General features: G+C 57.0%; 1 protein-coding gene across 5 annotated transcripts in view, besides 5 other annotated features; it reads right to left on the minus strand.

Annotated features, from left to right (window-relative positions):
- The window catches only part of OTOF (otoferlin), a 101,554-nt gene that overhangs the window by 4,407 nt on the left and 72,932 nt on the right, over window positions 1–24,215 (minus strand). For 2 of the 5 annotated variants that reach the window (NM_001287489.2, NM_194248.3), the window contains exons 12-43: window positions 22,865–23,024; window positions 21,853–22,039; window positions 20,797–20,983; window positions 19,177–19,400; window positions 18,594–18,702; window positions 17,864–18,044; window positions 17,655–17,775; window positions 16,040–16,140; window positions 15,807–15,897; window positions 15,563–15,679; window positions 15,282–15,434; window positions 14,519–14,708; window positions 14,305–14,429; window positions 13,750–13,884; window positions 12,904–13,065; window positions 12,382–12,501; window positions 11,797–11,958; window positions 11,523–11,685; window positions 10,910–11,040; window positions 9,512–9,541; window positions 8,984–9,112; window positions 6,799–6,865; window positions 5,756–5,892; window positions 5,490–5,624; window positions 5,105–5,242; window positions 4,340–4,467; window positions 4,063–4,233; window positions 3,260–3,420; window positions 2,355–2,497; window positions 1,874–1,962; window positions 474–572; window positions 87–328 (exon numbers count right to left, since the gene is read on the minus strand). In NM_001287489.2, the coding sequence (NP_001274418.1) occupies window positions 87–328; window positions 474–572; window positions 1,874–1,962; window positions 2,355–2,497; window positions 3,260–3,420; window positions 4,063–4,233; window positions 4,340–4,467; window positions 5,105–5,242; window positions 5,490–5,624; window positions 5,756–5,892; window positions 6,799–6,865; window positions 8,984–9,112; window positions 9,512–9,541; window positions 10,910–11,040; window positions 11,523–11,685; window positions 11,797–11,958; window positions 12,382–12,501; window positions 12,904–13,065; window positions 13,750–13,884; window positions 14,305–14,429; window positions 14,519–14,708; window positions 15,282–15,434; window positions 15,563–15,679; window positions 15,807–15,897; window positions 16,040–16,140; window positions 17,655–17,775; window positions 17,864–18,044; window positions 18,594–18,702; window positions 19,177–19,400; window positions 20,797–20,983; window positions 21,853–22,039; window positions 22,865–23,024 (4,488 nt within the window). Of the gene's footprint in view, window positions 1–86; window positions 329–473; window positions 573–1,873; window positions 1,963–2,354; window positions 2,498–3,259; window positions 3,421–4,062; window positions 4,234–4,339; window positions 4,468–5,104; window positions 5,243–5,489; window positions 5,625–5,755; window positions 5,893–6,798; window positions 6,866–8,983; window positions 9,113–9,511; window positions 9,542–10,909; window positions 11,041–11,522; window positions 11,686–11,796; window positions 11,959–12,381; window positions 12,502–12,903; window positions 13,066–13,749; window positions 13,885–14,304; window positions 14,430–14,518; window positions 14,709–15,281; window positions 15,435–15,562; window positions 15,680–15,806; window positions 15,898–16,039; window positions 16,516–17,654; window positions 17,776–17,863; window positions 18,045–18,593; window positions 18,703–19,176; window positions 19,401–20,796; window positions 20,984–21,852; window positions 22,040–22,864; window positions 23,025–24,215 lie in introns of those variants that run through there. The other 3 variants (NM_194323.3, NM_004802.4, NM_194322.3) reach the window with 2 other exon arrangements.
- Window positions 1,243–2,442: an enhancer, noted in NCBI's record as "BRD4-independent group 4 enhancer chr2:26685720-26686919 (GRCh37/hg19 assembly coordinates)". NCBI's record gives its function as "activates an origin of replication core promoter dependent on BRD2, P300/CBP, MED14 and CDK7 cofactors, and independent of BRD4, by STARR-seq in HCT116 cells {active_cell/tissue: HCT116}" and the evidence as "EXISTENCE:reporter gene assay evidence [ECO:0000049][PMID:35650434]".
- Window positions 2,012–2,306: an enhancer, noted in NCBI's record as "tiled region #888; HepG2 Activating non-DNase unmatched - State 8:EnhW, and K562 Activating non-DNase unmatched - State 7:EnhWF". NCBI's record gives its function as "activates a minimal TATA promoter and a strong SV40 promoter by Sharpr-MPRA in HepG2 and K562 cells {active_cell/tissue: HepG2 | K562}" and the evidence as "EXISTENCE:reporter gene assay evidence [ECO:0000049][PMID:27701403]".
- Window positions 15,950–16,139: an enhancer, noted in NCBI's record as "active region_15473". NCBI's record gives its function as "activates an Ori minimal core promoter by ATAC-STARR-seq in GM12878 lymphoblastoid cells {active_cell/tissue: GM12878}" and the evidence as "EXISTENCE:reporter gene assay evidence [ECO:0000049][PMID:35858748]".
- Window positions 18,849–19,349: an enhancer, noted in NCBI's record as "H3K4me1 hESC enhancer chr2:26703326-26703826 (GRCh37/hg19 assembly coordinates)". NCBI's record gives its function as "activates a minimal SCP1, AML or CMV promoter by ChIP-STARR-seq in naive H9 embryonic stem cells {active_cell/tissue: H9 hESC(naive)}" and the evidence as "EXISTENCE:reporter gene assay evidence [ECO:0000049][PMID:30033119]".
- Window positions 20,416–21,221: an enhancer, noted in NCBI's record as "H3K4me1 hESC enhancer chr2:26704893-26705698 (GRCh37/hg19 assembly coordinates)". NCBI's record gives its function as "activates a minimal SCP1, AML or CMV promoter by ChIP-STARR-seq in primed H9 embryonic stem cells {active_cell/tissue: H9 hESC(primed)}" and the evidence as "EXISTENCE:reporter gene assay evidence [ECO:0000049][PMID:30033119]".

Genomic DNA, 24,215 nt, shown 5'->3' on the forward strand with positions numbered 1-24,215 from the left:
GCAGGGCTCTCCCTGTCCCCGCCAACCCGGCCCCTGCCTCTTCTCAGTTCTGGATCCTGAACCCCCATCCCTGCCCTGCTCTGCACCCAGGAAGTCGTCAGCGGAGAAGTGGTCCGCATCCCAGATCTGCAGGGTGAGCCGCGCGGGGATCTTGTACTCGGTCTCGTCCCAGGAGAACATGGACTCCTTCTTGGAGATGACGATCTTCTCCTCCGCCGCCAGGTAGTCGAAGGGGAACAGGTAGCGCCAGTTGAAGTTGCCCTCGCCAGTGAGGGAGTGGTAGTGGACGTCTGTGTCCTGCTTGTCCTCCTGCTGGCCCTTCAGCCACCTGTGGGCGCCACATCTCCAGACCCGCAGCCAGGCTGGTGGGGCCTCTCCCACCCACAGCCACCTTCCCTCTGCCTCCTCTCCTGCCCCCCGGGAAGCAAGCCCCACCCAGCTCAGTCCCTCCCATGCAGGGACTGCTCACCCACCCCCTCACGAAGATGTCACTGGACTTCTCCCCTGTGAAGAAGTCGTCGTCCTCCAAGACCACCTCATCTGTGTTCCAGATGATGACCCGCAGCTCGTACCTGGGCCCAGGGAGAGAAGGCTGGTTAGCAGCCCCAGGTGGGGGTTATGCCAGGGTGCCAGGGCTGGGATGGGGCAGGCGGAGAGAAGCCCTGGGGTCTTGGGGTCAGCACAGGGCCTGGGCCAGGCTGGGGCTGGAGGAGTGGTTTGGGGTTGGGGGAGCAGAGGCATGAGTGAGAAGGCCCACCAGGCACATGGCTGTGGGCGGTGGGGGTGGGGTGAGGGGAGGAAGCCACCCTCTGTCTCAGATGCTAGTTCCAAGAGAAGTCTGCATTTAAGCCCAGTAGCCAGCAATGGAAGCCCATGGAAGCTGTATGTCCCTGTCCCCAAAGAGGATTTTCCCCTCAAGGTTTAATTGTAATTATGAATGATGTAGTTCATTTCAATCATTAAGAGTGAGGCTGAGTCATTCACTAAAAATTGATCTGAGCATGGCTCTCCTGGGATTGCAGACAGGGCTGCGAGCCCAGAGTGGCCCAGTGAGTTGGGTGCCCCCTAATGACAGGCCCTGGAACAGCTGACTCATGGCCTCAGGTTTCCAGGACATTCCTGGCAGAATTTGCTGCATGATTTGCTGGGGCCAGCGCCAAATGGAAATGCAGGGTCACTTGTCATAAAGAATTTCAAGATGGCAACATAGGAGCATGGAAACAAGAGTGGGACCCTGTGTGGCTTCCTCCATCCCTGAAGCTGGCCCTGAATCCAGTCACTGTCTGACAGCTGGACTTGAACCTGCCGCTTTATGGATGGGAAACCCGGGTTCTTTTCACTCTACCACCTCCTGCCTCTTCCAGGCACTCACTCCTGGATTCATCACTGGCAGGCACTCCAAAGAAAACTTGGCGGAACATCACACTAGCCTGGATGTGAGGATGACGCAGGGCCGGCTCCCAGGGGTTCTGTGTGTTGTGAAGGAGTGCGTCAGTGTGGGCATGTGTGTGGGTGTCCGTGGGAGTGCTATGCTGTGTGTGTGTGTGTGCATGAGATGCATGTGTATGGGCGCGTAGACCGTGTAGATACAATGCACCGGAGTGTGCTGTGTGGGGCTTGTCTCGCTCACTGATGCAGGGTGGAAGGCGTTGTCCTGCCTTAGCACGTGGGGACTCTCCAGGGCAGGCCCTAAACTCTATCGATTGGTTGGTCAGTTTCTCCCCTATAAGGCCCAGTGGCCACACCCAGGCCCCAGGGATGCCAACTGGCCAAGGCCATCTGGACCTGAGCCCCCCGCAGGAAGGGTTGGGCCGTGGTGGGAAGTGGGTGGGGTGGGCCGGAAGGGAGTAGCGCTGGGCCCCAGGCCGCTCACTTCTTGGGCTTCCGAGGTGAGATGTCCAGAGGCGTCCCAGGGGCTGGCATGTCCATGGGGAACATGTCCACCCACAGCTCCAGGCGGCCCTGAGGAAGAGGGTTGTGGCAGATCTCCCAGGGCCTTCTCCCTCTGCCCAGGAAGATCAGCTCTCCTCTCCCTCCTAACCTTTGTTCTGTCAAGGACCCAGTTCATCAGTTTCCATCTTTGGATGCCAGGAATTCCTATGATGTCACCAATAGCCAATCACAGCTTCTGAGGGAGACAACCCAGGTCTCTGCCTGAGCTGATGTAATTCTCACTCAAAGCAAAGACCCTTGCCATTCAAGTTACCCTGAGGGGCCTTGGTGGGAAGGTGCCTGCCAGGCTTTCTGGAATGCAGCGGACAGCGTGAGGCCTGGCTTCTACCTTTACTGACTCAGGTTGGGGATCCCTGGTCCCCAATACCCAAGAACCCCAGTCTTGGCCATGCAAGTGTCACCTGCTCGATGCCCGGCTTGTCGGGGTTGAGCAGCGGCCTCGTCTCCACATGCTCTGGCACCAGGCGGCAGCCTGCGCGGGGGATGTCCTCCCAGTGCCTCAGGGCCAACAGCGCCACATGCTCGTCTGTGGGCTTCCTCTGACCTGTGGGTGCCGGCGGCTCAGCTGCACACATGGCTCAGCAGAACCAGAAGACCTTTGCTGGGACTAGGGACTTAGGAGCACAAAGAAGCCTCTATGCCATCACCTGTCTACCCCACCTCCTTTTCACTGTTGGGGAAACTGAGGCACAGAAGGAGAAGTGGCTTGCCCAGGGTCTCAGCTGCCCCACAGGGCCAAGAGAGGTCTGTGCCCTTGGTCCTCTGCTTGGGGAAGTTGACTGGAGAGCCCTGCTGGGCTGAGAGAAGGGTCAGGGAGGGGAGAATCCACTTCCTGTCCCAGCACCTGAAAGTGATCAGATACCAGCACAGACACCTCCCAATTCTCTGCTTCTCTGGGAAGTGCCTCATGGACAGAGAAGTAAGGAGAGTTTAAGGATTAGAGCCAGATGGACCTGGGCCGATGCCCTCGCTCTGCCTCTAAAGAGCCACATGACCTTGGGCGAGTCACTAGAAGTAGGATCTTGGTTTGTTTATCTGCAGAATGGGATGCAGATAGCCTCTCTACCTCACTGGGATTTGGACAGAGAGAAAGCAGGTGGGGCTGCCCTGTAGGAGGGGTGGAAGCACAGAGGCTGGGCAGACAGGAACGGGGCTCTGGGGTGATGAGCAGAGGGTCACTAAGACCAGGTTTAGGCTGAGGACACCCCAGGCTAGGCTGTGAGGTTCCCCAGGGAAGTGTGGGCCCCTCCTGGCCTCTGAAACCCCCTGGAGAGGGGGCAGGCGGCTGCATCCAGTGCCCCATTACCGTTCTCGTCCTCAATCTCAGAGGGCCCAGTGAAGACGCGGTTGGCCACCTTCACTCTCCCAGGGGGCCCAAAGTGGGGGCCGTCCACTTTGCCGTCTTTGCAGAGGCGGGTCAGGATCTGGCTGGGCTTCATGGGGTCCCGCCAGATATTGTAGCCATGTCTGTGGGAGGGGACACACAGGCTTGGAGGGGCTGGGTGGGACTAAGCCATCCTGGATGACAGCTGGTCGTGGCCAGTTCTCTAAAGTTGGCTGTTGCCCTCATCAGCAAGTGAGCCTGATTCCTCCTGCCCTGGGCCCCAGGCTCACCTGAGACACTAGGGCTGCTGGAGGCTGAACCTTCCTGCCCTGGGCCTTGGACCACATATCAGTGTCCCCAGCCTAGCCCCACTGCATCCCCTCACTGTGCCCACTCCTCTGGAACCTCAGAGACTCCCATGAGGAAACTGAAAACCAGAGAGGTGAAGGGACTTGGCCAGGGTCACACAGCCTATAAGTGGCAGAGCTGGCCCAGATCCCCAGGGGACTCTTTCTGTCCTCCTCTTGCTAGCCCCCACCTTCCCTAGCCCACTTGTCTCTCCTCGTCCTGCCTCCTCTGTCCTGGAATCCACTGTCCCTCTCCTTGTTTTGGGATCTGCAGTCCTGTCCCCTGAAGACTGTGCCCAGGGACTGTAGGGGCAGAGGCCTGGCCTGGGACAGAAACCACAATGTCTAACCTCTCAAATCACCAGGATCTGAATCTCATTTTAGAGTGGAGGCAAAGCAGGCACACTGCCCCCGCCCTCTGCCCCATGCCCCACATACGTGGAGTAGGTCTGGGCGATGCCGCAGGTGGCGCGGTGCTTGCTGTAGAAGCGGTTCTCCAGGTCGATCTTGGTTTCCCCAATGAGGTCATCAGTGCCCACCAGGTCCCAGTCATACACAGCCACCGTCAGCATGGATTCCATGGGGAAGGAGGCCTCGATGTCAAAGGACCTGGTGGGGTGGAGTTAGGAGAAGGGCTTAAGGATTGGCTAGGGTGGGAGGTGTTCTGGGTTGGAGAAGTAGGGGTGTGGCAGGGGAGGGCACCAAGAAGCCTTACTTCCCAAAGACAGGGTTGAGCTGCTTGGAGATGTAGTTCTCCTTGTCGCGGATGTCAGTCTTGCCTAGCCGGATGGCGATGTAGGGGTCAGCTTTGCCGTTGATGTCAGCAGGGTGCAGGTCCGTGGCCTGGAATGGGGAGAAGGGCTGCCTGAGCAGGCTCCCATGCCCTGCTCATCTTCAGTGCCCCTGCCAGGCTGCCTGAGGGTCCTATGACAGTGAAGGGCAGGGGCAGGAGCACTGGACCCCTCAGGAGGCTTGCTGTGTGACCCTAGGCAAGTGGCTACCCCTCTCTGGGCGTTGACTTCTTCCTCTAGAAAAGATAAAGACTAGACCAAATGATCTCCCTGGTGCCTCCCAGTCTGGGGCTGTCAGTATGCAGCTTCTTCTTCTTTTTTTTTTCCTTTGAGACAGAGTCTCGCTCTGTCTCCCAGGCTGGAGTGCAATGACGTGATCTCAGCTCACTGCAAGCTCCACCTCCCAGGTTCAAGCGATTTTCCTGCCTCAGCCTCCTCAGTAGCTGGGATTACAGGTGCGTGGCACTGTGCCTGGCTAATTTTTGTATTTTTAGTAGAGACGGGGTTTAACCATGTTGGCCAGGCTGGTCTCGAACTCCTGACCTCAGGTGATCCTCCTGCCTTGGCCTCCCAAAGTGCTGGGATTACAGGCGTAAACCATTGCACCTGGCCAGTATGCAGCTTCTTTGCTCTCTCCCAGATGGGAGGATGAGGAGACTTGCAAGGAGGGAAAGCGACGGGAGTCTCACCCGGACCACATAGACTCGGACCAGCACATTGATGGGGTCATTGCTCGGGATGCCCTGGAACATGCCGTAGGTGGAGTCGTAGCCGGCTTCCCGGGACACGTCCTCTGGGAGTGGCACTTTGTACACGCAGAGGGAGCCCTGGGCAAGACAAATGTGGGTCAGGGTGTAGGTTTGCCTGGCAAGGGTGGCATTCAAAATAGCTAACAGCACCAGGAGGGCTGGACCCTGATGTGGCAGGGCCTTCACCCTTTAACTGCTGAGTCATGGGAGAGTCCAGGGCTTCTGGAGGCAGTGGCCGGGGCAGTGGTGGGAGGTGAGTGGGGGAACCTGTGGGGGGGGCAAGGGCTGGCGGGTGCTCAGGCTGGGCCCGTGCTCCTGGCCTGACCTTGAAGCGTCCCACAATGCGCTCCTCCTCGGTGGAGCCATCCTCATCATCCCCGGTCTTGCCCCGAAGCAAGTTGAAAGTGTGCAGCCAGTCCTCAAAGTTATCAAACTCGGACTCCAGCTCTTTGGGGTATACCTGAGACAGACCAGGCTGTTAGGGGGCGGCTGCCTGGTCTCTGGCTTTTGTCCTGCCCCACCTGCAGGATCACTGCGCCCCCCTCTTCCCGCCCCCACACACCCTAGAAGGGTCTGCTCCTAGGCTCTCACCTTAAGCTCATCAATCTTGGGTTTCTTCTTCTCGGGGGCCTCGGACCCCTGGCCAGAGCCAGAGCTCTGAGTTTTCTTCTTCTTCTCCTCTTTGGCAGCCCTTGCCTTCTCCTTGCCCTTCATTGACCCCTTCAGGCCTGGCCAGAAGCAGAAAAGGAGGTGGAGCAGAAATGAGCAGAGCAGGAAGGCCTGGATTCGAGACCCAGCTCTGTCGCTAATTTGCTTTACTAACTTAACTCTCGGATGTCCATGTGCTGTCAAATGCAGATAATACTCCCTAGCATGCCCGCCTCATGGAGGTGCTGGGGGCCCCAGTGGGTTTATGCCCGGGAAGGTGTCTGAAGACTGTCTTCATGCCCTTTGGAAGAGAGGGGCAGGAAGGAGCATGGGTTTGGGGGTGGAGGCCTGTTGCTGCGCAGTTCCTTGCCCACTCACTTTCCTCACTAGCTTCCCTCTTCTTGTCCATAATAATAACACTCTGTATTAGCATTTCCCAAACCTCATTCAGTGGAGCACCTGGTGCAGATGCTGCTGGCATGCTTTAGAAGAAAGGGTACTGTGATCCAATAAGCTGGGGAAATATTTTATACTGTGTCTTCCTTTTAGAGATGTATAATAACATTTGCACAGTAAAGGGTATGAAAAGTCCTGCACCAAAACAAGCTGTTTCAATCAGCTTTTCCTAAACTAATTTGACCAAAACTAATTTGTTCCTTCTAGAACATCCATCAATTTTCTTCATGGAAAAGAGTCTGGAAAATGCTGGATGGAATGAGCTCTGAGGTCCCTTCTAGCTCTGATGTTCTGTGGCTCTAAATGTCTGCCCATCACTGTGGGTGCTGAACTGGTCAGAGTAAAAGCCTCCCTGGACAAGGGCCTTAGCCTGCCCAGTACTGCCCATGGATTACTGATGCTGCTTCCCTGGCTACTAAGGCTGGGAGGGCTGGCAGGAGGGAAAAGAGAAGCAGGTGATGAGGTGGGCAGGAGAGCTGACCACCCAGGGGCGGGGAGGAGGAGGCAGAGTTCCAGGTTCCAGGGCTCACCCTCGGTATTGTCCACTTCCTCCTTCTCCTCCAAGTCAATTCCAGAGGGCTCTTGTTGTCGAAGTTGCTGCCAAAAGATGAGATGAAAAGGACAGAAGGTGGGTTTCCTGGGGAGGAGTCTGTTGACCCCAAATTGTGGGCCCAGACCAGTCTTAATGCACTAGAAGTAGAAAATCTTCCCTACTGCATTTCAAGTCCACCATGTGCTCTGCTTAAGTGGGTTAAAAAAAGTTTATAATGTGTACAGTGTGACTAGTGGTACTTAGGGGTTTATGCATCTGTGGCACATATACACCATGGAATACTATGCAGCCATAAAAAAGGATGAGTTCATGTCCTTTGCAGGGACATGGATGAAGCCAGAAACCATCATTCTGAAGAAACTGTCACAAGGACAGAAAACCAAACACTGCATGTTCTCACTCATGGGAGGGAACTGAACAATGAGAACACTTGGACACAGGGAGGGGAACATCACACACCGGGGCCTGTGGTGGTGCTGGGGGAGAGGGGAGGGATAGCATTAGGAGCAATACCCACTGTAAATGACGAGTTAATGGGTGTAGCACACCAACATGGCACATGCATACATATGTAACAAACCTGCACATTGTGCACATGTACCCTAGAACTTAAAGTATAATTTAAAAAAAAAAGAAATAACACCTTGCAATAAATATTTACATTTTCTACTTAAAAAAGTACAGTGCATTTTAATGTTGCTTTTAGTGATATTAATAAATTGTTTTAATGTACAAAAGTATAACAGTAAGAAAATGTACTATATTTTCTTTCACTCAGCACACCCCATCTTACTGGAAACGAGAATAAATCTTACTAGAAACTAGAAACCAGGTTTCAACTAAGTCGCCACCGCCACCTGGTGGCAGTCTGTGAAAATTGCAGGAGTAGAGACGACAACAGGCAGCCTCTTGCAGCTCCAGCCTGGCCAACTTGATGGTGGGAGACGAGACTACCAGTTGTCCTCAATGATCTGTTCTCCTATTTTTACAAGTTTTGCTGAGCACACAGCCACCTTGTGAAAGATTACATTTCCCAGCCTCCTTTGCAGATAAGTGTAGCTAAGGGACTAGATTCTGATCAATGTGAGTGGAAGTCATATGTGCAGCTTCTGGATTGGGCCCTGAAAAAGAAAAGCATATGCCTCATCTCCTCTTTAACCCTTCCTGTGCACTTGAATTAGAACATGATGTTGAGTCACCTCCAACCTTACAGATGTGACAAACAAGAGGTCAGGATCTTAGTCCTTGACACCACTGAGCCACCATACCAGCCTAACCCCCACTCTCTGAGATGTTATGTGAGAAATAAACTGCTGTCTTGTTCACTTCACTCTAACTTGCTACAGCAGCTTAATGTGTGCTCTAATAAATATCACACCTAGCTTGGGTCACAGAAAGGGCCTGGGAGAGGATGTGGCTGGATCAGCTCTGGCCCCACTGAGGAAACACAACTGCAGGCATGTGTCCCTCCTGGTCAGGTGGCCAGTCAGAGCACCCTGAGCTAGGTAGGCAGCGTGGAGAGGACACAAACAAGAAAGCAGAGAAATGCGCTTTCTGGAACTTGCAATCTGGCCAAACAGATGGAACCCACATATGTGTAATAGGGGAAGAATCATTCACGTGCCGATGACCAAGATGTGTAAAATAAAACATTATGAAGAAGAGTCGTAAGGACTACTGATAAGCAGTTGTTCCCTTATGGCCTCTGAGAACATGTTTCTCCTTTTCCACAAAGGTCACCTCCTCTGAGACGCCTTCCCTGATTCCCCCAAGCCATGATTTGCCTTTGTTATCACATAGTCCTCTCTAAGTCTCTGTTTACATGTCCATTTTGCCCAGTAAACCGGAGGCCCATCAGGGCAGGTGTGGCATCTTTTGGCTCCCATAGCACCTAGTATGGAGCCTGGCTCATCGCATATACCCAAGAGGCATTTGTGGAATGAGTCAATGAGGACAAAAGAAAACCAAGCAGGGAAGGTAGATGGGACCATCATCTTGGAAGGTGAGTTCTGAGCTAGGATTTCAAGGATGTGAGACAAAACCATCCCAAACTCACATGAATGGAGTTGGGATCCAGCTCTTGGGGGCCGTGGGAAAGAAGCTGGACAGGAGGGTCTGAGTGTGGAGGGGGTCACCTCCCCTCACCCTACCCGAGGTCTCACCTCCTTCATGGTGTCAATGGAGGCAAAGTACTTGGACCACCAGTCCAGCATGCTCTCGTCTGGCTCCTCCTCCTCTGGCTCCTCCGCAGTGCCCTTCTTCTTCTTCTTCTTCTCCTTCTCCTCCTCAGCCTGCAGGTTGGCCAGGTCCAGAGTCCTACATGGACTCCTCCTGCCTGGACAATCCCGAGAGCCTCCACCCATTCCGCCATCTGTCAGCAGGAAGCCTTGGGCTCCATGAGGCTCTGTGGGGCCACCCATGTCCAAGGGGCAGGGCCTTATTTTATGGAGAAGGTGCCACAGGCCACAGAGTGTTGTGACCTGCCAGTGCGATCCACTCGCCCAAGCAGGACTGGCACCGAGTCCTGCACTCACCCAGCTCTTTTCCACTGCATCTTAGGGGAGGTGTGCTGGCCCAAGCATGCGGGGGCTGGGGCTGGCTCTGTCCCTGATGCTGGACCCTTTGGCCTGACATCATTGCCAATAAAGGACCCTCTCACCCCAGAGCCCCTGCATGGCCCCCACACTCACCACATCCACCTTGACAACAGCTTCAGAAGTCTGCAGAGGAACCAAGGAGACAGGGGCAGAATCAGCCACTGGGGCCTGGAGTGGCAGGCAGTGGCCTAGCACAGGGTGTGTGGAGGAGCCGAGATGGAAATTACTGTGTGCTGGCAGCCCCTGTGCCCGCAAGGCCAACTTTGCATTAATAAGAGCACTCTGACTGGTGAGTCTGCAAAGGGTCTGAGTGAGGATGTTTCTTTGGGTGGCCAAAGGAACAGTGGGCTGTGTTCCAGGCTGGCCCACGTTCTGCCCTTCCCTGTAGGGTCTACAGCTTGTACGCCACTTCCACACCCAACCCCCAGATGGCAGTTCTCTCTCTGGCAGATGAACAGTCCTAGGCCCAAAGCCAGGAGGAATAAGGAGCTTCCACCTGGAAATCCTCCTCTGACCCAGGCCAGGGAAGTGTCATTTGTGAATGGCTGGGATGGAAAACCAGGGACTCTTTGGAAAGGACACTGATGATCTCATAAGGAATCATTACCTATGGTGTCATTTGTTGGAGTAAAAATTATAGCAGGTGATTATAATAAACTGTGATGGCTCACTCTGTCTCTCATACACACATACCACATGCCAGTGCACATGCACACACCCACATGTATGCACGCATGTGCACATACGCACACCGCAAGCATGCATGCACACATATATGCACATACACCACATGCACACATGCACACATGCACATTTACATACCACATGCACACATGCACATATGCACACAAGCGCACATGCACACATATATGCATATATACCACACTCATGCACATTTACCTACCACCCGCATGCATGCACACTGCACACATGCACATATGCATTTACACACCACATGCACACACATATGCACACACCACATGCACATATGCACACCATACGCATGCACACATACATGCACATGCTCATACCACATGCATGCATGCACGTGCATATGAACATACACCACACATGCATGCACATGTGCACACCACACGCACGCACGTGCATATGCACATACCCCACATACATGCACACACACATGCACATACACCACATGCATACATGCACGATGCACATATGCACACCACACATACGCATGCACGCACAAATGCACATACATCACATGCATGCACACACACATGCACATATGCACACCACACACATGCGCACACACATGCACATTTACATACCACACGCACGCGTGTGCATTCCAGGATAGTATTAGGAGGGAGCTGTTTGGACACACAATCAAGCTCAGCCCCCGACAGTCACATGCCAAAGGAGGCTCTTAGTGTCCTTTTCTCTCGGGGCAGATAGTCTGGTTCACAGGATGTGTCACACGAAGTTGCATGTTCCCAGCCAGCAGGGGGCTGACCCCACCCGCCTTACCGCGTCCAGCTTCACCATGGTCTCCAGTTTCTTGATGGGTACCTCTGGCTCCATAGTCACCACAACCTCCCCTGTGGAGTGAGAGGAGGAGCCCCCATTGCACAGCACACGGCAGCGCCGGAGAAGCCTGACTGGACAGATGGATAGATGGACAGACAGGCAGAGGAAGGAGCAAGAGGAACAGTGAGATTGGCGGGGCAGGAAGGTGCGGAGAACTAAAGCTGATTCTGGAACTTTCTGAGGGAGAGGGGGACAGGCAGTCAAGGGAGAAAATATGGGCATGGGGAGGGAAGAAGAGAGCCCGAGATAAGGGGAAGCTGCGGAGGCCGGTGGGAGGGAGGTGGCGGGGAGGCCTGGGTCTTCTCCATCAACCAGCGCAAGGGGCTTTCTGCCCTCAGGCCCCCCCAGGCTGTCTCCAGTTCTGCCCTCTCTGGCTGTAGAGCTGGCGTCACCTTGGGCAGCCTTCCTTGGCCACCAGGGTGACCTTCTTCTATGCCCACCCCCTCGGCCCCAAAGAGCAAACTCTGGTCGCGGCTTGGACTGGGCGGAGACCTGGAGCCCTTCCCTGGGGGGCGTGGAGCCAGGCTTGGTGGCAGGGTGGATGTGGCCATACCCGTGGTGTTCCAGCTGGGGGCCGAGCGGTCTGGGGGCCGGTAGATGAAGCGTCGCAGGGAGCTGACGGCATGGGAGCCCACCAGTGTGTAGCGACCGAAGGCCCGGCAGTCCACCACACGGATGTTCAAGGGCGGGTGCAGCAGCTCGTTCTCTGGGAGGTCCTGGGGTGTTGGCGACAGGAGCCTGAGCCTCCAAGAAGGGGCAGAGGAAGCCGGCTGGCTGAGTGGAGCCACACTGGCCACAGGATGTCCTCCGCCAGGGCCTGCACTCACCACTTCAAACCACTTGACGAGGGTGTTGAAGTTGGGGTTCTTCTTATAATTGTGGATCAGGGACGACTGCACCCCCTTCCCTGCACACTCGATGTCCACCCGTGGCCGGTCCACCTGGGCCAGGTTCACCCGCTTTAGGTCCCGTAGGCCCCAGAACAGCACCTGGGAGAGGTTGGAGGGTGGGTGCAGAGAAGAGAGCCCCTTAGTCAAGGGAGCCAGCCATGGGGGTGCTGGACCATCCAATAGGGAACCGGGCAGTGGGATGGGCAGTAGTTCACCCCAGATTTCAAAGGGTGGGAGCAGGGCCAGGAGAGCAGAGGAGGGGCAGGCGTTCTCCAGGGATGAGGGTGGGGCTGCCCGGAGAAGGGGTGCAGGGTCAGGGGTGCAGACAGGAGGGCTGGGCATGGTCCTGGGACATGGGAGTGCGACTTGGTGCAGATGGGGGCAGGCCCTGGGCTGGGGCAGGAGCCTGGGTCTGCTGCTGGCTCCTGGTGATGGTGGTGGGAGGGGGATGACAAGCCACTTCCCCTCCTGGGTCCTCAGACTCCTCATCCAAAAGGGAAGGGCCACACAGAGCCCTCGCACCTCCACTCGGTACTTGCTGAGCACGGGCCGGATGCCCATGGGCACGGGCATGATGGGACCTCGGTCCACGTCCACCGGGCCATTGATGGGGGGCAGGTCAGCCTTCCCTGCTGGTCCAATCTGGGGAATGGGGGTCACAGGTCACACACTGGGGAGCCCAGGGACAGGGTCTCTTTCCCCATGAGTTGTTTGCCATGATCTGGGGAGACAGGGAAACCCCCTAAGGACCACGCCCCCAGCTTTGGTCAGGATGGGTAGGAGAGAGGCCCCTAGGCCCCAGCCCCCAGGCCCCAGCTCCAGGCCCCAACCCCCAGGACCTAACGCCCAGGCCCTAACCCCCCAGGCCCCAGGCCCCAGCCCTCAGCCCCAGCCCCCAGCCCCAGGCCCCAGCCTCCAGCCCCCAGGCCCCACCCCCAGGCCCCAGACCCCAGGCCCCAGCCTTCAGGGTCCAGCCCCCAGCCCTAGGCCCCAACTCCCAGCCTCCAGTCCCCAGGCCTCAGCCCCTCTTCCCTGCAGTCCCACCTGCAGCAGCTCGAAGGCCGCCAGCAGGTCTCCAGCTGTGGCGTTGCCACGGTAGATCTGGTAGTACTCGAGCTGAGGTGGGAAGCGGGGTGGGCAGTACGCCTCGTCTGCCATCTTCACCAGGGGTTTGGCGAAGGTCCGGCCCATGAAGTCAGCTTTGCCCTGACGCAACAGACAACCCAGAAGCCTCTTGGTGCTTGCTGTCCACACCTGTGATCTCGTTTGGTCCTTACCACAGCGCCATGAGTTGTTGTAAGGGACAGGTGTGATCACCCCATTTTACAGATGAGGAAACCAAGTCTCAGGGCCCACCAAAGACTTGTTCAAGGCCAAGCAGTCAGTAAATGGCAGATGCCCGGCTCAGGACTAGACATGAGGTCCTCCTACCTCTAGTCCAGGGCTATCTGGGCACCTCAGCAGCTGAGGTGGTATGTGAGAAGGTGGCTCGCTAACTCTCGGGGGTCACCCCAATCCCTTACTCCCTGCTCCAGAACCTCCACGGAGGATGGCAAGGCTGTTACTGGTTGTGGTAGGTGAGGGCAGGGGTCGGGGAGCCCTGGGGTGGGGAGGCTAGTGACAGCAGGACTTGCTGGCACACCTCCAGGGCTCAGTCTGTAGGAGACAGGAGGTGAGGATGTGCTGGCCTGGGAAGGGGTCAGGCTGCCGCAAGCAGGCAGGAGGAGCTAGATGTCAGCCCCCACTCCCAGCTTCCCAGCCAGCACCTGGCCAAGGAGCTCTGCAGGTGGGTGGCGGAGGTGAGGGCACAGCCTCAGCGCAGGTGGAGTGCAGGGAACAAGGGCCAGGTGTGGTGCTGCTGGGGTCCCTGGCACCAGAGCCCACCCATACCATGGAATCCTGGTCATAGATTTCAATGACAATGATGGGCGGATCGTCCCTCAGCTCATGAGCTTCACCATAGAGCTCCAGGTTGTCGAACACCAGCATCTGGTCCCAGGTGGGACACAGGGTCTCATTCAGCACCTGCAGCATGGGATGGGGAGACAGGGGACAAGTGACAGAGGGGGGGGCAGATGCACAAACAGAAGCCACCCCTACTCACTCAGCTTCCACGGAACCTGGGGGCAGGAGTGACAGGTGTCTTGATTCTTCCAGAAATCTTAAAATCAAGGCTAATATGAGGTTTGGCCCAAGCCCCCTGCCAATGTCCTCCTTGTCGTCCCTGTCTTGTGAATATAACCACAGCTAAAGCCCGTAGCCTTTCCAGTGTGACCCGCGTCTGCTGCAGTTATCTGCAGGGCTTCCCCTGAGAAACCGGGGCACTGGCTGACCTGTGGCTCCAGGCCCCACAGGCTCACAGGCCCCACAGGCTCCAGTCCCCACAGGCTCACAGGCTTCTGGTGCTCTCAAAGCCAGAGCCACTCCCTCCTCCCAGGCCCTCACCTCTGTGCACTGACTCTGATTGATGAAGAAGACGCGGGCAAAGGGGTCTGAGAGTCCGCTGCTGTCGGCGGCAAAGAGGCTGCGGGCCTGGTACATGTGCGCTCGGAGCTGGAACGCCTGCTTCTCTGTGGGGAAGGGCAGCCTGAGGTTCCAGGATGGGCAGCCCCTCCGGCCCCCTCCCAGGTGAGGCTTCGAGTGAGGGGTCCTCACTCACTGGTGTAGACCAGGCTGACGGGTGGGAAGGCATGCAGGCCCAGGCCCTGGGCTGCCTTGACCTCCTGGAAGCCACAGGGCAGGCCGCACAGGAACTCCTTGCGCTGTTTGCTGAGGCCCAGCCACAGGTACAGCTCCACCTTGGCCTGCACTGTCCAGCCTGCCGAGCCGAAGCCCCGCTTCCCTGGCAGCTGGGGGTGGGCATGGGGTCACCAGGAGCCTGACGGCTGCCAGGGCCCAAGAGGTGGGGAAGGGGCAGGGGCCGGCAGAGGCCCTGGTCAGAGCTGCCCTGCCCCTTCACAGCCATCCCGCTGGGCTGGGGTCCGGTGGAGGCAGGAGGATGGGCAGGGGGCCGTCATGCCCCCTTCCCCACCCCTTCCCCCACCTCCTTCCCCACCCCTTCCCCCACCTCCTTCCCCACCCCTTCCCCCACCTCCTTCCCCACCCCTTCCCCCACCCCTTCCCTCACCCCTTCCCCCACCTCCTTCCCCACCCCTTCCCCCACCCCTTCCCCCACCTCCTTCCCCACCCCTTCCCCCACCCCTTCCCCCACCCCTTCCCCCACCTCCTTCCCCACCCCTTCCCCCACCCCTTCCCCCACCTCCTTCCCCACCCCTTCCCCCACGTCCTTCCCATTCTTGGCTCTTCTCTGAGCACCTGCTGCTTGAAGGCCCCACCCTGTCACTCAGGCTTCCAGCCCCAGGTGGGGGCTGCTGCTCCCCTGAAAGGACCCAGGCCCCCATCCATCCTGCCCCCTCCAGCACCTTAAGGAAGAGCGTCTTGACCTTGGCGCAGTCCTTGCCAGTCTCCTCCTCCACGATGGAGAAGAGCAGGTCCTTGGAGGGCACACGGGCATAGGCGACACGCTTGTTGTTGCTCATCATCCAGATGAAGATGTCGGGAATGCTGTGCTGGGGCTGGGGGTTGGGGGGTGGCCAGGGGCAGTGGGTAAGGGGGTCTAGCCTCCTGATTGAGCCCCCTGATCCTGAGGGGCCCCAGAGAGCCAGCCCTGGATGAGGCAAAGCCCCGACCCCTTGGGCCGCACCTCGTCCGCCAGGAAGCGCAGCTTCTGCAGGAAGTTCTGGCACAGCCTCAGCTTGTCCCGCACCGTGTGCCGCTTCACCTGGGCCCGCAGCATCCTGGCCTGCTGCCCCATGTTTTCCTGCGAAGGAGGGGGTGTCAGTGAACCCAGCAACTGGGGGACAGCTCGGGCCATGACAAAGGGGGTTGTGACACCTTCTCACAACCAGGCCCTCCCTCCAGCCCCCGCCGTCCAGTTGCGTCCTCACCAGCTCCCTCATGCAGGACTTGAGGCGCTCCCGGTCAAGCCTGGTGCGGGATGAGTGGCCCTGGTCCTTGTCAGCGAGGGAGAGGAAGCGGCTGGGGGTAGGGCGAGCCGGGGTTTAGCGAGCCTGACCAGCAGGGGCTCTGTAGATTCTTCCTCATCTGCCCAGCCCTGGCAGGGTCCCCTTTGTCCAGTTCCGCCTCATCCTCCCCCCACCTGCCGCCCCTCCCTTCTCACCAGCAGCCACAGCTCAGCTCCTCCAGGACGCCCCGCAGGCGACGCTCAGGGTAGGACTTCTCCGTTTTGATCATCTCCTGTATGTCGTTCAGGCCTTCTTCCTGTGAATCAGGAGTGTGGGTGATGCTGGGCCACAGCCCCGCCTCCCCAGCCTCCCCAAATGCCTCCTCCCTGTTGATCAGGGGAGTGAGGGACCTCATGATCTGGGAGCTCTCGCTAGGGCCATCCTGAGTATCGGTCATCATGAGGAAGTCATCAATTTCCCAGGTTCTGTTCTCAGAACCTGGAGATGTTGGTGTTCATGGGGGTTCTTCAGTTCCTGAAGGAAGAAGCCACCTCTGGGCTGTGAGTCTGTGGCTCTGGTGAGCTCACAGGGCCTGGGCAGAACTCACGGCTACGGGGCTCAGGGCTGGCCAGAGACAGAGGGAAACCCTAGGACTGGATGTGCCAAGATCCTGACGTCACTCCAGAATGCTGGAGCCTGTGGCAGGGGATGGGAACAGATGCCTGGGGGAAGAGGGAGTGGCTCTGGCTCTGAGAGCACTGGGAGGGCTGTGAGACCCAGGTCCCACAGGAAACACAGGTCAGCTTGTACCCCAGCTCCTTAGGGGGAAGCCTTGCAGATAACTGCAGACCCAGGTCACACTGCAAAGGCTATGGGCTTTAATTGTGGTTATAGTCACAAGACAGGGATGACAAGGAGGACATTGGCAGGGGGCTGGGAGCAGACCTCATATTAGCCTTGATTTTTTTGGAGGTTTTAATTCATTTTTATAAAATATGAGCTGGCTGAGCTTCAGGGAACTTCAACAGGGAACAGCAACAGCTCAGGGAAGGGCGGGATTATCTGCTGGTCCCTGCTTCCCCAGGCTGGGGAGAAGGAGGTCTCATGCCAACAGCTGCACTCCTCGCCCAGTCAGTGCCCATGGCTCATGGGGGGAGAGGGGTGGGCAGAGGAGGAGGGGGCAGCTCCTGAGCTTCAGACACTGCTCGCTTCTCCCTTTTCCCCATTTCCCTTCCCTAGCCTTGCTTTTTTATTTTGTTTTATTTTATTTTATTTTATTTTTTGAGATGAAGTTTTGCTCGGTTGCCCAGGCTGGAGTGCAGTGGCGCCATCTTGGCTCACTGCAAACTCCGCCTCACGGGTTCAAGCGATTCTCCTGCTTCAGCCTCCCGAATAGCTGGGATTACAGGTGCCCGCCACCAAGCCCCGCTAATTTTTGCATTTTTAGTAGAGACGGCATTTCACTATGTTGGCCAGGATGGTCTCGAACTCCTGACCTCAGGTGATCCACCTGCCTTGGCCTCCCAAAGTGTTGGGATTACAGGCGTGAGCCACCACACCTGTCTCCCTAGCCTTGCTTTTAAGATTTCTGGAAAAATCAGGGAACCCAACACTCCTGCCCCAGGATTCACTGGAGGCTGAGTGACTAGAGGTGGCTCCTGTCCTTGTCTGTGCCCTGGGACCTGGGGCTGAGAATGGGAACAGAGGTCCTGCTGGGGCCGTTCCTGCAGCCCCCTGGGCAGACCAGCTTTGTGTGTTCCAGGGAAGGCCCTCTGACAGCGCCGTCTCCCCCAGGACCCCACCCCTGCTGGCCCCTGGCCTGGCCCTGACCAGCTTGTCGGCAATGTGGTCCATGATGTTGGCATTGTAGAGGCGGCGGCGCTGGTCCGGCCACCAGCTCTTGATGTAGATGCAGGGCTTTCGCTCCAGGTAGGGCAGATGGAAGTAGTTCCTGGGGTGGGCAGAGGCGGGAGGTGAGGTCTTGGGGGCCCAGGGAGGTGGGAGGGCCAGGCCACAGGAGGATGGGAGGCTGGGCCCACCTGTCGGTGACCTGGGGCCGCATTGGTGGAGTGGAGGAGACTGAGGCCAGGTCCCCGGCATCACCGGCCTCGTCATCACTTGCGTTCTGAATCAGGTCTACTTCTTCCTCATCCCCCGGCTCCTTCCGGGGCCGAGGCCGCTGGGGCCGGGACAGGCCATCAACTTCGTTCCCATAGTTGCCTGGAGCAGAATGGGCCCAGAAGGCCTAGAGTGCATTCCCCACCAGGCCCCTCCCACCGTCCAATCCGGTGCTGCCTTGGGTTTGGGAAAGGGGAGAGGGAGAGTCAGGGAATGGGGCTCAGACGTGACACATCATTAGCCAGAGAGCATTAGCCCGTGTCCCCACTCCGCTGAGAGTCAGGGAGTCCTCATGACGCCTGAGTGCGAGGCCCAGCCCTGGCCCAGGCTGTGGCCTGAGTTCCCACTCTCTCCTCTCCAGCCCCGGGAAGGGCTTCTCCCTGCCCTCTGCCCCAGGTCCCAAACACAGCCTCACCCTGTAGGTGGAGCTGAGGGTTGGCCCCTTTATGGGGCGTGGTCCACCCCATGCACACACAAAGGTGTTTTGTGGGTGCTTGAGGCCTCTCAGGGGAAAGGGGTCAACGTTCCCTACAAGAGTGAGGACAGGGCTGAGGTGCAGAGCCTCACACTTACCACCTGCAGCCTAGGCCTGAAGCCCCCGTGGGCCCAGCACTCACCTAGGCCCGAAGCCCCCGTGGGCCCAGCACTCACCTATGGTGACCTCAAAGGTGATGGGCTTGTCTCCGTTTCTCCGGTCGATCATTGAGGCCTCCAGGAAGGCTCCAAAGAGAAAGAATTCTTCCATTTTACCTGCACAGCTCTGTGGGGAGGCAGTTCAAAGCGTTCCTGAGCTTGAGTAAGGGTGGCAGGTCGGGGGCCAGGCCTCCTTCCGTCTCACAGACAGGCCGTGGGGGTGGATGGTGGGGGCATCCCACCCGGCTTTGGGGCCAGGCAGCCCACACCCCAACGGCCCCCCAGCCTGGATATCCATGGAAGCAGGGCTGGCTGCAGACACCACAGGGACAGCCGTGGCTGGGAAGAGGGGCAGAGGGGAGGCACCATCGTGAGACCTGGCGGCCGTTGTGAGACAGAGCACAGGCAGGCAGTGGACGAGGGCAGAGTCCTGTTGCGGGGCTGAGTGGGGGCCTCTGCTTCCTGGGGAGAAGCCTTATCCTGAGGTATGACTCCTCAGGTAGACAGGGCAGCAACAGGCAAAGCCTGGGACCCAGGTGACTCAGGGAGAAGGGGGCTGAGCTGGAGGCCCTGGGGGACAGCACAGTGCCTGGGGTCTCACCTCCGAGATGGGCGTGGCCTGCTCCACCTGCACCTCTGTGGAGCTGGTGAGCTCAGGGTTGGAGGTGTCTACGATCTCCACAGCCAGGCCCAGCAGGAGCCGGGCCCGGAAGGACACACCCTCCCCCAGGCCCTCGTTCAGGTCCTGATGCTCATCCAGCAGCGTGTAGTTACGTGTGGAGCCGTACATGTTCACCCAGGCTGGGCCCAGTGTGGGCAGGAAGCCTGTGGCAGTGGGAACAAAAATGAGGGGGCAGCGTCACATCCAGTTTCCCTGGGGAAGAGGGGCCTCTTTTGGGGGTCCCTGGCCTCCAGCTCCTGGGTGCTGAGCTGAGAACTTCATGTGTGCCATTCAGGTGTGGGGCAGCCTTCTTACACTGCGCTGGGGTGGAGCACTCTCTTGGGTCTATTTCTTCCCTGCGGGGGCCTGAGCTGGAAGCAGTGGGAAGGCAAAGTCTAGCTCCCTGCTTCCTGGAACTTAGAGCAGGAATTGTCAACAGTCTACTTGTAGGACAGAGCCAGTCCTTCCAAGTCCGCAGCATGACCTTGGGCCCTGTGCCATTTTTGCAGCTCTGTCCCACCACGGTGACCCTGCCAGTGCAGACCCCTCCCCTCCTTGCTGAAGGCCATCCCTCTCCATCTCTGCCTGTGAAATGCTGCTTCCTCACGAAGCCTTCCCAATTCCTAGGCACAAGTCCCTTCTCTTATGGCTAAGATTTGTCAGGCCTCTGACAGGGGTCTCATGATCCAGTTTTTTTGGTTCATTTCCTTTTTATTCTGCCTTTTTTTAAAAAACACACTTATAGCATTTTAAAAATTTAGATATACTTCACATGACATAAAATTCACCCTTTTAAAGTGTACATTTCAGTGGTTTTTCGTATATTCACTGTGCTATAAACCATCATCTACTTCCAGAGCAGTTCCACCCCCTCAAAAGAAACTCTGCACCTATTTAGCAGTTAGTCCCAATCCCCTCCCTTTAGCACCTGGAAACCGGCAATCTACTTTCTGTCTCTGTGGATTTGCCGGATGTTTCACATACATGGATCAGACAACATGTGGCCTTTTGTGTCTTCTGCCTTATGTTTTGACCATTTGGTAGCACATCTATCTCCTCAATACACAGTGAGCACTTTGATCCAGGAATAGATTCTTATCTCACTCTATGTCCTTGGAACCCAGCACAGGGCAGGGATCCTAGGAGGTAGTCAATCCCTGCGATTCTGCAGATAGGCACTACTATTAGGTATCATATATATATACACACACACTGTAATTATATACAAATGCAGTATATACACTGCTATAATGTGCATATCATACTATAATTATCATATCATATAATCATTATTATTTTCACTTTACAAATGGGAAAACAGGTCACACAACTACTAGCTGACAAATCCAGTCAGCTGGGCTCAGGCCAGCTCTGAGCCGACCTGAGCCACAAATCCTCACCCTCCCCCTGAGGCAGGGGCTGCTGGCAAGGCCCTGGAAGCACCTGTGAGGCTGAGGACCAGAGCTGATGACGGTGGTGTGAAGAGAGGGCATCTCACATATTCCTTCCCTTCAGGCCACTCCCTCTGCCCCCCAGCACACCGGGTCTCCCGCTGCTGACCTTTGTCTCCGTCATTAGAAATCTTGCGCAGGTCAATGAAGTGGGTGCCGATGGCCACGTCGTTGACCTTGTCCGAGTCTCGGATCTGCACCTTCATGCGTTTGCAGAGTGGGGGGAAGAGGTCTGTAAAGACGACCTGCTCATTCCACAGGGGCTCATAGCTGCTCTTCTGCACTGAAGTCTTGCCCTGGTGGAAGGGGGAGCACAGGTGAGGGCGTGGCATGTGTGTGTGAGTGGGTGCATGTGTGTGTGTGTGAGTGGGCGCATGTGTGCGTGAGTGGGCACATGTGTGCATGTGTGAGTGGGTGTGCATGCGTGTGTGAGTGGATGCATGTGTGCGTGTGTGAGTGGGTGCATGTGTGAGTGGGTGCGCGTGCGTGTGTGAGTGGATGCATGTGTGTGTATGAGTGGGTGCATGTGTGCGTGAGTGGGTGCATGTGTGCGTGAGTGGATGCATGTGTGCGTGTGTGAGTGGTTGCATGTGTGCGTGTGTTAATGGGTGCATGTGTGCGTGTGAGTGGGTGCATGTATGTATTCGTGGGTGCATGTGTGCACGTGTGAGTGGGTATGCGTGCGTGTGTGAGTGGGTGCATGTGTGCATGTGTGAATGGGTGTGTGTGCGTGTGTGAGTGGGTGCATGTGTGCATGTGTGAGTGGGTGTGTGTGCGTGTGTGAATGGGTGCATGTGTGTGTGTATTCGTGGGTGCACGTGTGCACGGGTGAGTGGGTGCGTGTCTGCATGTGTGAGTTGGTATGCGTGCGTGTGTGAGTTGGTATGCGTGCGTGTATGAGTGGGTGCATGTGTGTGTGCGTGCCTGTGTGTGGACTTGTCTCCACTCTTCCCACACCCCCAGCCTCTCCTCCCTCTCATGCCCCCTGCGCAGCTCTCAGTCTAAGGACTCCAGGAGGCAGTGAGGATCCTCTAAGTCCGTCCCTGGCCAACATGATTTCCAGCCTTGTCTTACCTGCCCAGCTGCCCCAGGCCCCACACCCATCAGCCTGCCCTTGTGATACCTGTCACCCAGCCCCAGCCTCCTGTACCTCATACCCCAGTACCTTCTGGCCAGCAAAGAAGACTTGCACGTAGGGGTCCACGAGGTCCTTGTTTTCACCGATGAAAGCCTTCTTTACATTGGCCATGAGGCTTGTGTTCATACGGGGCAGCCCCTCTGCTCGGTAAATTTTCACATAGAACCGGGCCCACTGGCGTTCGGGGGGCACCCCCTCGGGGAGCAGCAAGTTCCTGCCAGCACATACAGCCAGGGCCATGGTCACCAGGTCCAGGTCCCCAACCCCCATCCTGGCATCTACACACTCCTGGGTCCTGGCACAGTCTCTAAGGGACAGCTGAGGGAGCAAGGCTAGGATTAGACACTTGTGTTCACGGAACTTGCCCCTTGTGGGATTCTGGGCAAATCTTCCCATCTCACTGAGCTGCCGTTTCCTCACTGTTGAGGTGGCTGTAATAATACCCACCTCCCAAGAACATGATCGGCTCAAGCACGCTAAAACATATGAGTGCTTTGTAGATTGTACATTGGGATATGATCTTAGTATTATTGTCAGTGTTTTATAGTTTTGTGCCGTATCTTTTGTTTCGTAGACAAAAACTTCACAGTAGCCACTCTCTCTCCCCCAGCTCACAAAAGACAGGATTCATTGATTCCCAGCACTTTTACCCACTGACTCCAGACAAGGTCACAGAATATTTCTCAACAGCTGCTATCAGCTGCCTGGAATTGGCACACCAGAAGAAACCTTGGCTCTCCCAGCACTTCCTGCTGCTATACTCAGGACCCAGCAGCTGCTGGTTCTGGTCTGCCAGCATCGACTCTTCTCAACCCATTTCTCACTGGCAGAAAGGATGTCAAAGGACTGATATTCTCAGCCATCCTCCATCACCCCCTGCCCCTGCCCTGCCTCGGAAGAGTGGGGCTGCTTGGGAGAGTGAGCGAGAGCAGGGTGAGGGAGACGGGTGGCAGGTGCTCTCAGCAAACCCTCACCGGGGGCTCCCTGGGGGAAGGAAGGGCTGGCTCAGACTCCAGGGGCTGGGGTAGCTGGGCCTCACCCCTCAATGTCATCTTCGTCGGTCTCATTGGCCTTGTGGGGCGTCTTGATGTTGTCCCCTTTGCCCACCACGGCAACGTCACACTTCACGTAGCCCTTCAGCCCCGAGGAGATGTCATCGGGGTCAGACAGGATGGCCCACTTGTGATGGAACTGGTGCTCTGCAATGATGAGGGGTGGGCACTGCACCAGACACCCCCACCCAGAGCGTCTCCCAGTGCTCAGGGCAGGCCAAGGGGTGGCAGAACCAAATGCTGTCTTGGTCCCTAGAGTCCCGGGACCTGGGGCCACAGCTCTGCCTGTCCCTAGCCCAGGGTGTGATAGAGTCTGAGGTCCTCTGGAGCTGGGGCAGTGGGTGCATGGCCTGCCCATGGACATATATCCCATGAGTGGTGTGACTTGGAAGCACGACAGCCTCCTCCTAATTGGGTTTTTCTGCCTGTGGCCTCTTCTATGGCCCCACCCCAGTCAGCCAGCCTTCACATAGCTGTGAAGGACACAGCTGCACACAGGGCCTTCCCAGGTGGAGGCTCATGCTCCTGCTCCCCATCTTCAGCCCCTCTGGGGCTTCCCAGTGCCTTGGGGTGAAGACAAAAGGCATGGCCTGCAGGCTCCTGATTTAGTGCTCCCTGACTCACTCTGCTGAGCCCACCCAGCCCTGTGTTCCTCCTTGCTGAACAGGTGTTGCGGTTTTATATGCCCTTTTATACCTCCATGCCTTTGCATCTGCTGCTCTTTGAGCTTGGAATGCCCTCATTCCTGTTCTCTCCACCTCCACCTGTCTTTCTCCCTATTCAATTTGTAAACTTCTACTCATTTTGCTCAAGTCTCTCCTCCTCCATGCAGCCCTCCCTGACTTCCTCGGAAGAGTTGATCCTGGGCTCTTTAGTGTTTGTTCTCTGTGCTCTCCATGCACACCTCCCATCTCACTGTGCTGATCTGGGTATTGTTTGGCTCTGATTTTAGACTGAGAGTCTCCTAAAGACAGGGATTGTCAGTCTCATCCCAGTGTCCCATGACCTATGACTGTGTGGAGGAAAGGACGGATGTCAGGGAAGGAGGCGCTTTAGGAAGGATTTGCCCCTTCAGGTTTACTTTAAGCCCAGTGGGCAAGCAAAGGGAAGCGCATCACTGTGCCTTAGGAATCTGCTTCCCGGGATGTTAGGTGGGCACTGAACTCTCAGGGACTCAGCACCTCCCTCCTTCACTCCCTCCTCTTCCACCTTCTACCGTAGCCCAGGCCTGTGTCCTGCAAGCCTGTGGCCCTGGTGGGCTCCCGGAGATGTTAGGGGCTGTGTACAGAGGTTGGCCTTTCTGGGAATAGCCAGGCCACCTGTGTCTCAGAAAAGATA

Source organism: Homo sapiens, chromosome 2, assembly GCF_000001405.40.
Source record: "Homo sapiens chromosome 2, GRCh38.p14 Primary Assembly".
NCBI classification, from domain to species: domain Eukaryota; kingdom Metazoa; phylum Chordata; class Mammalia; order Primates; family Hominidae; genus Homo; species Homo sapiens.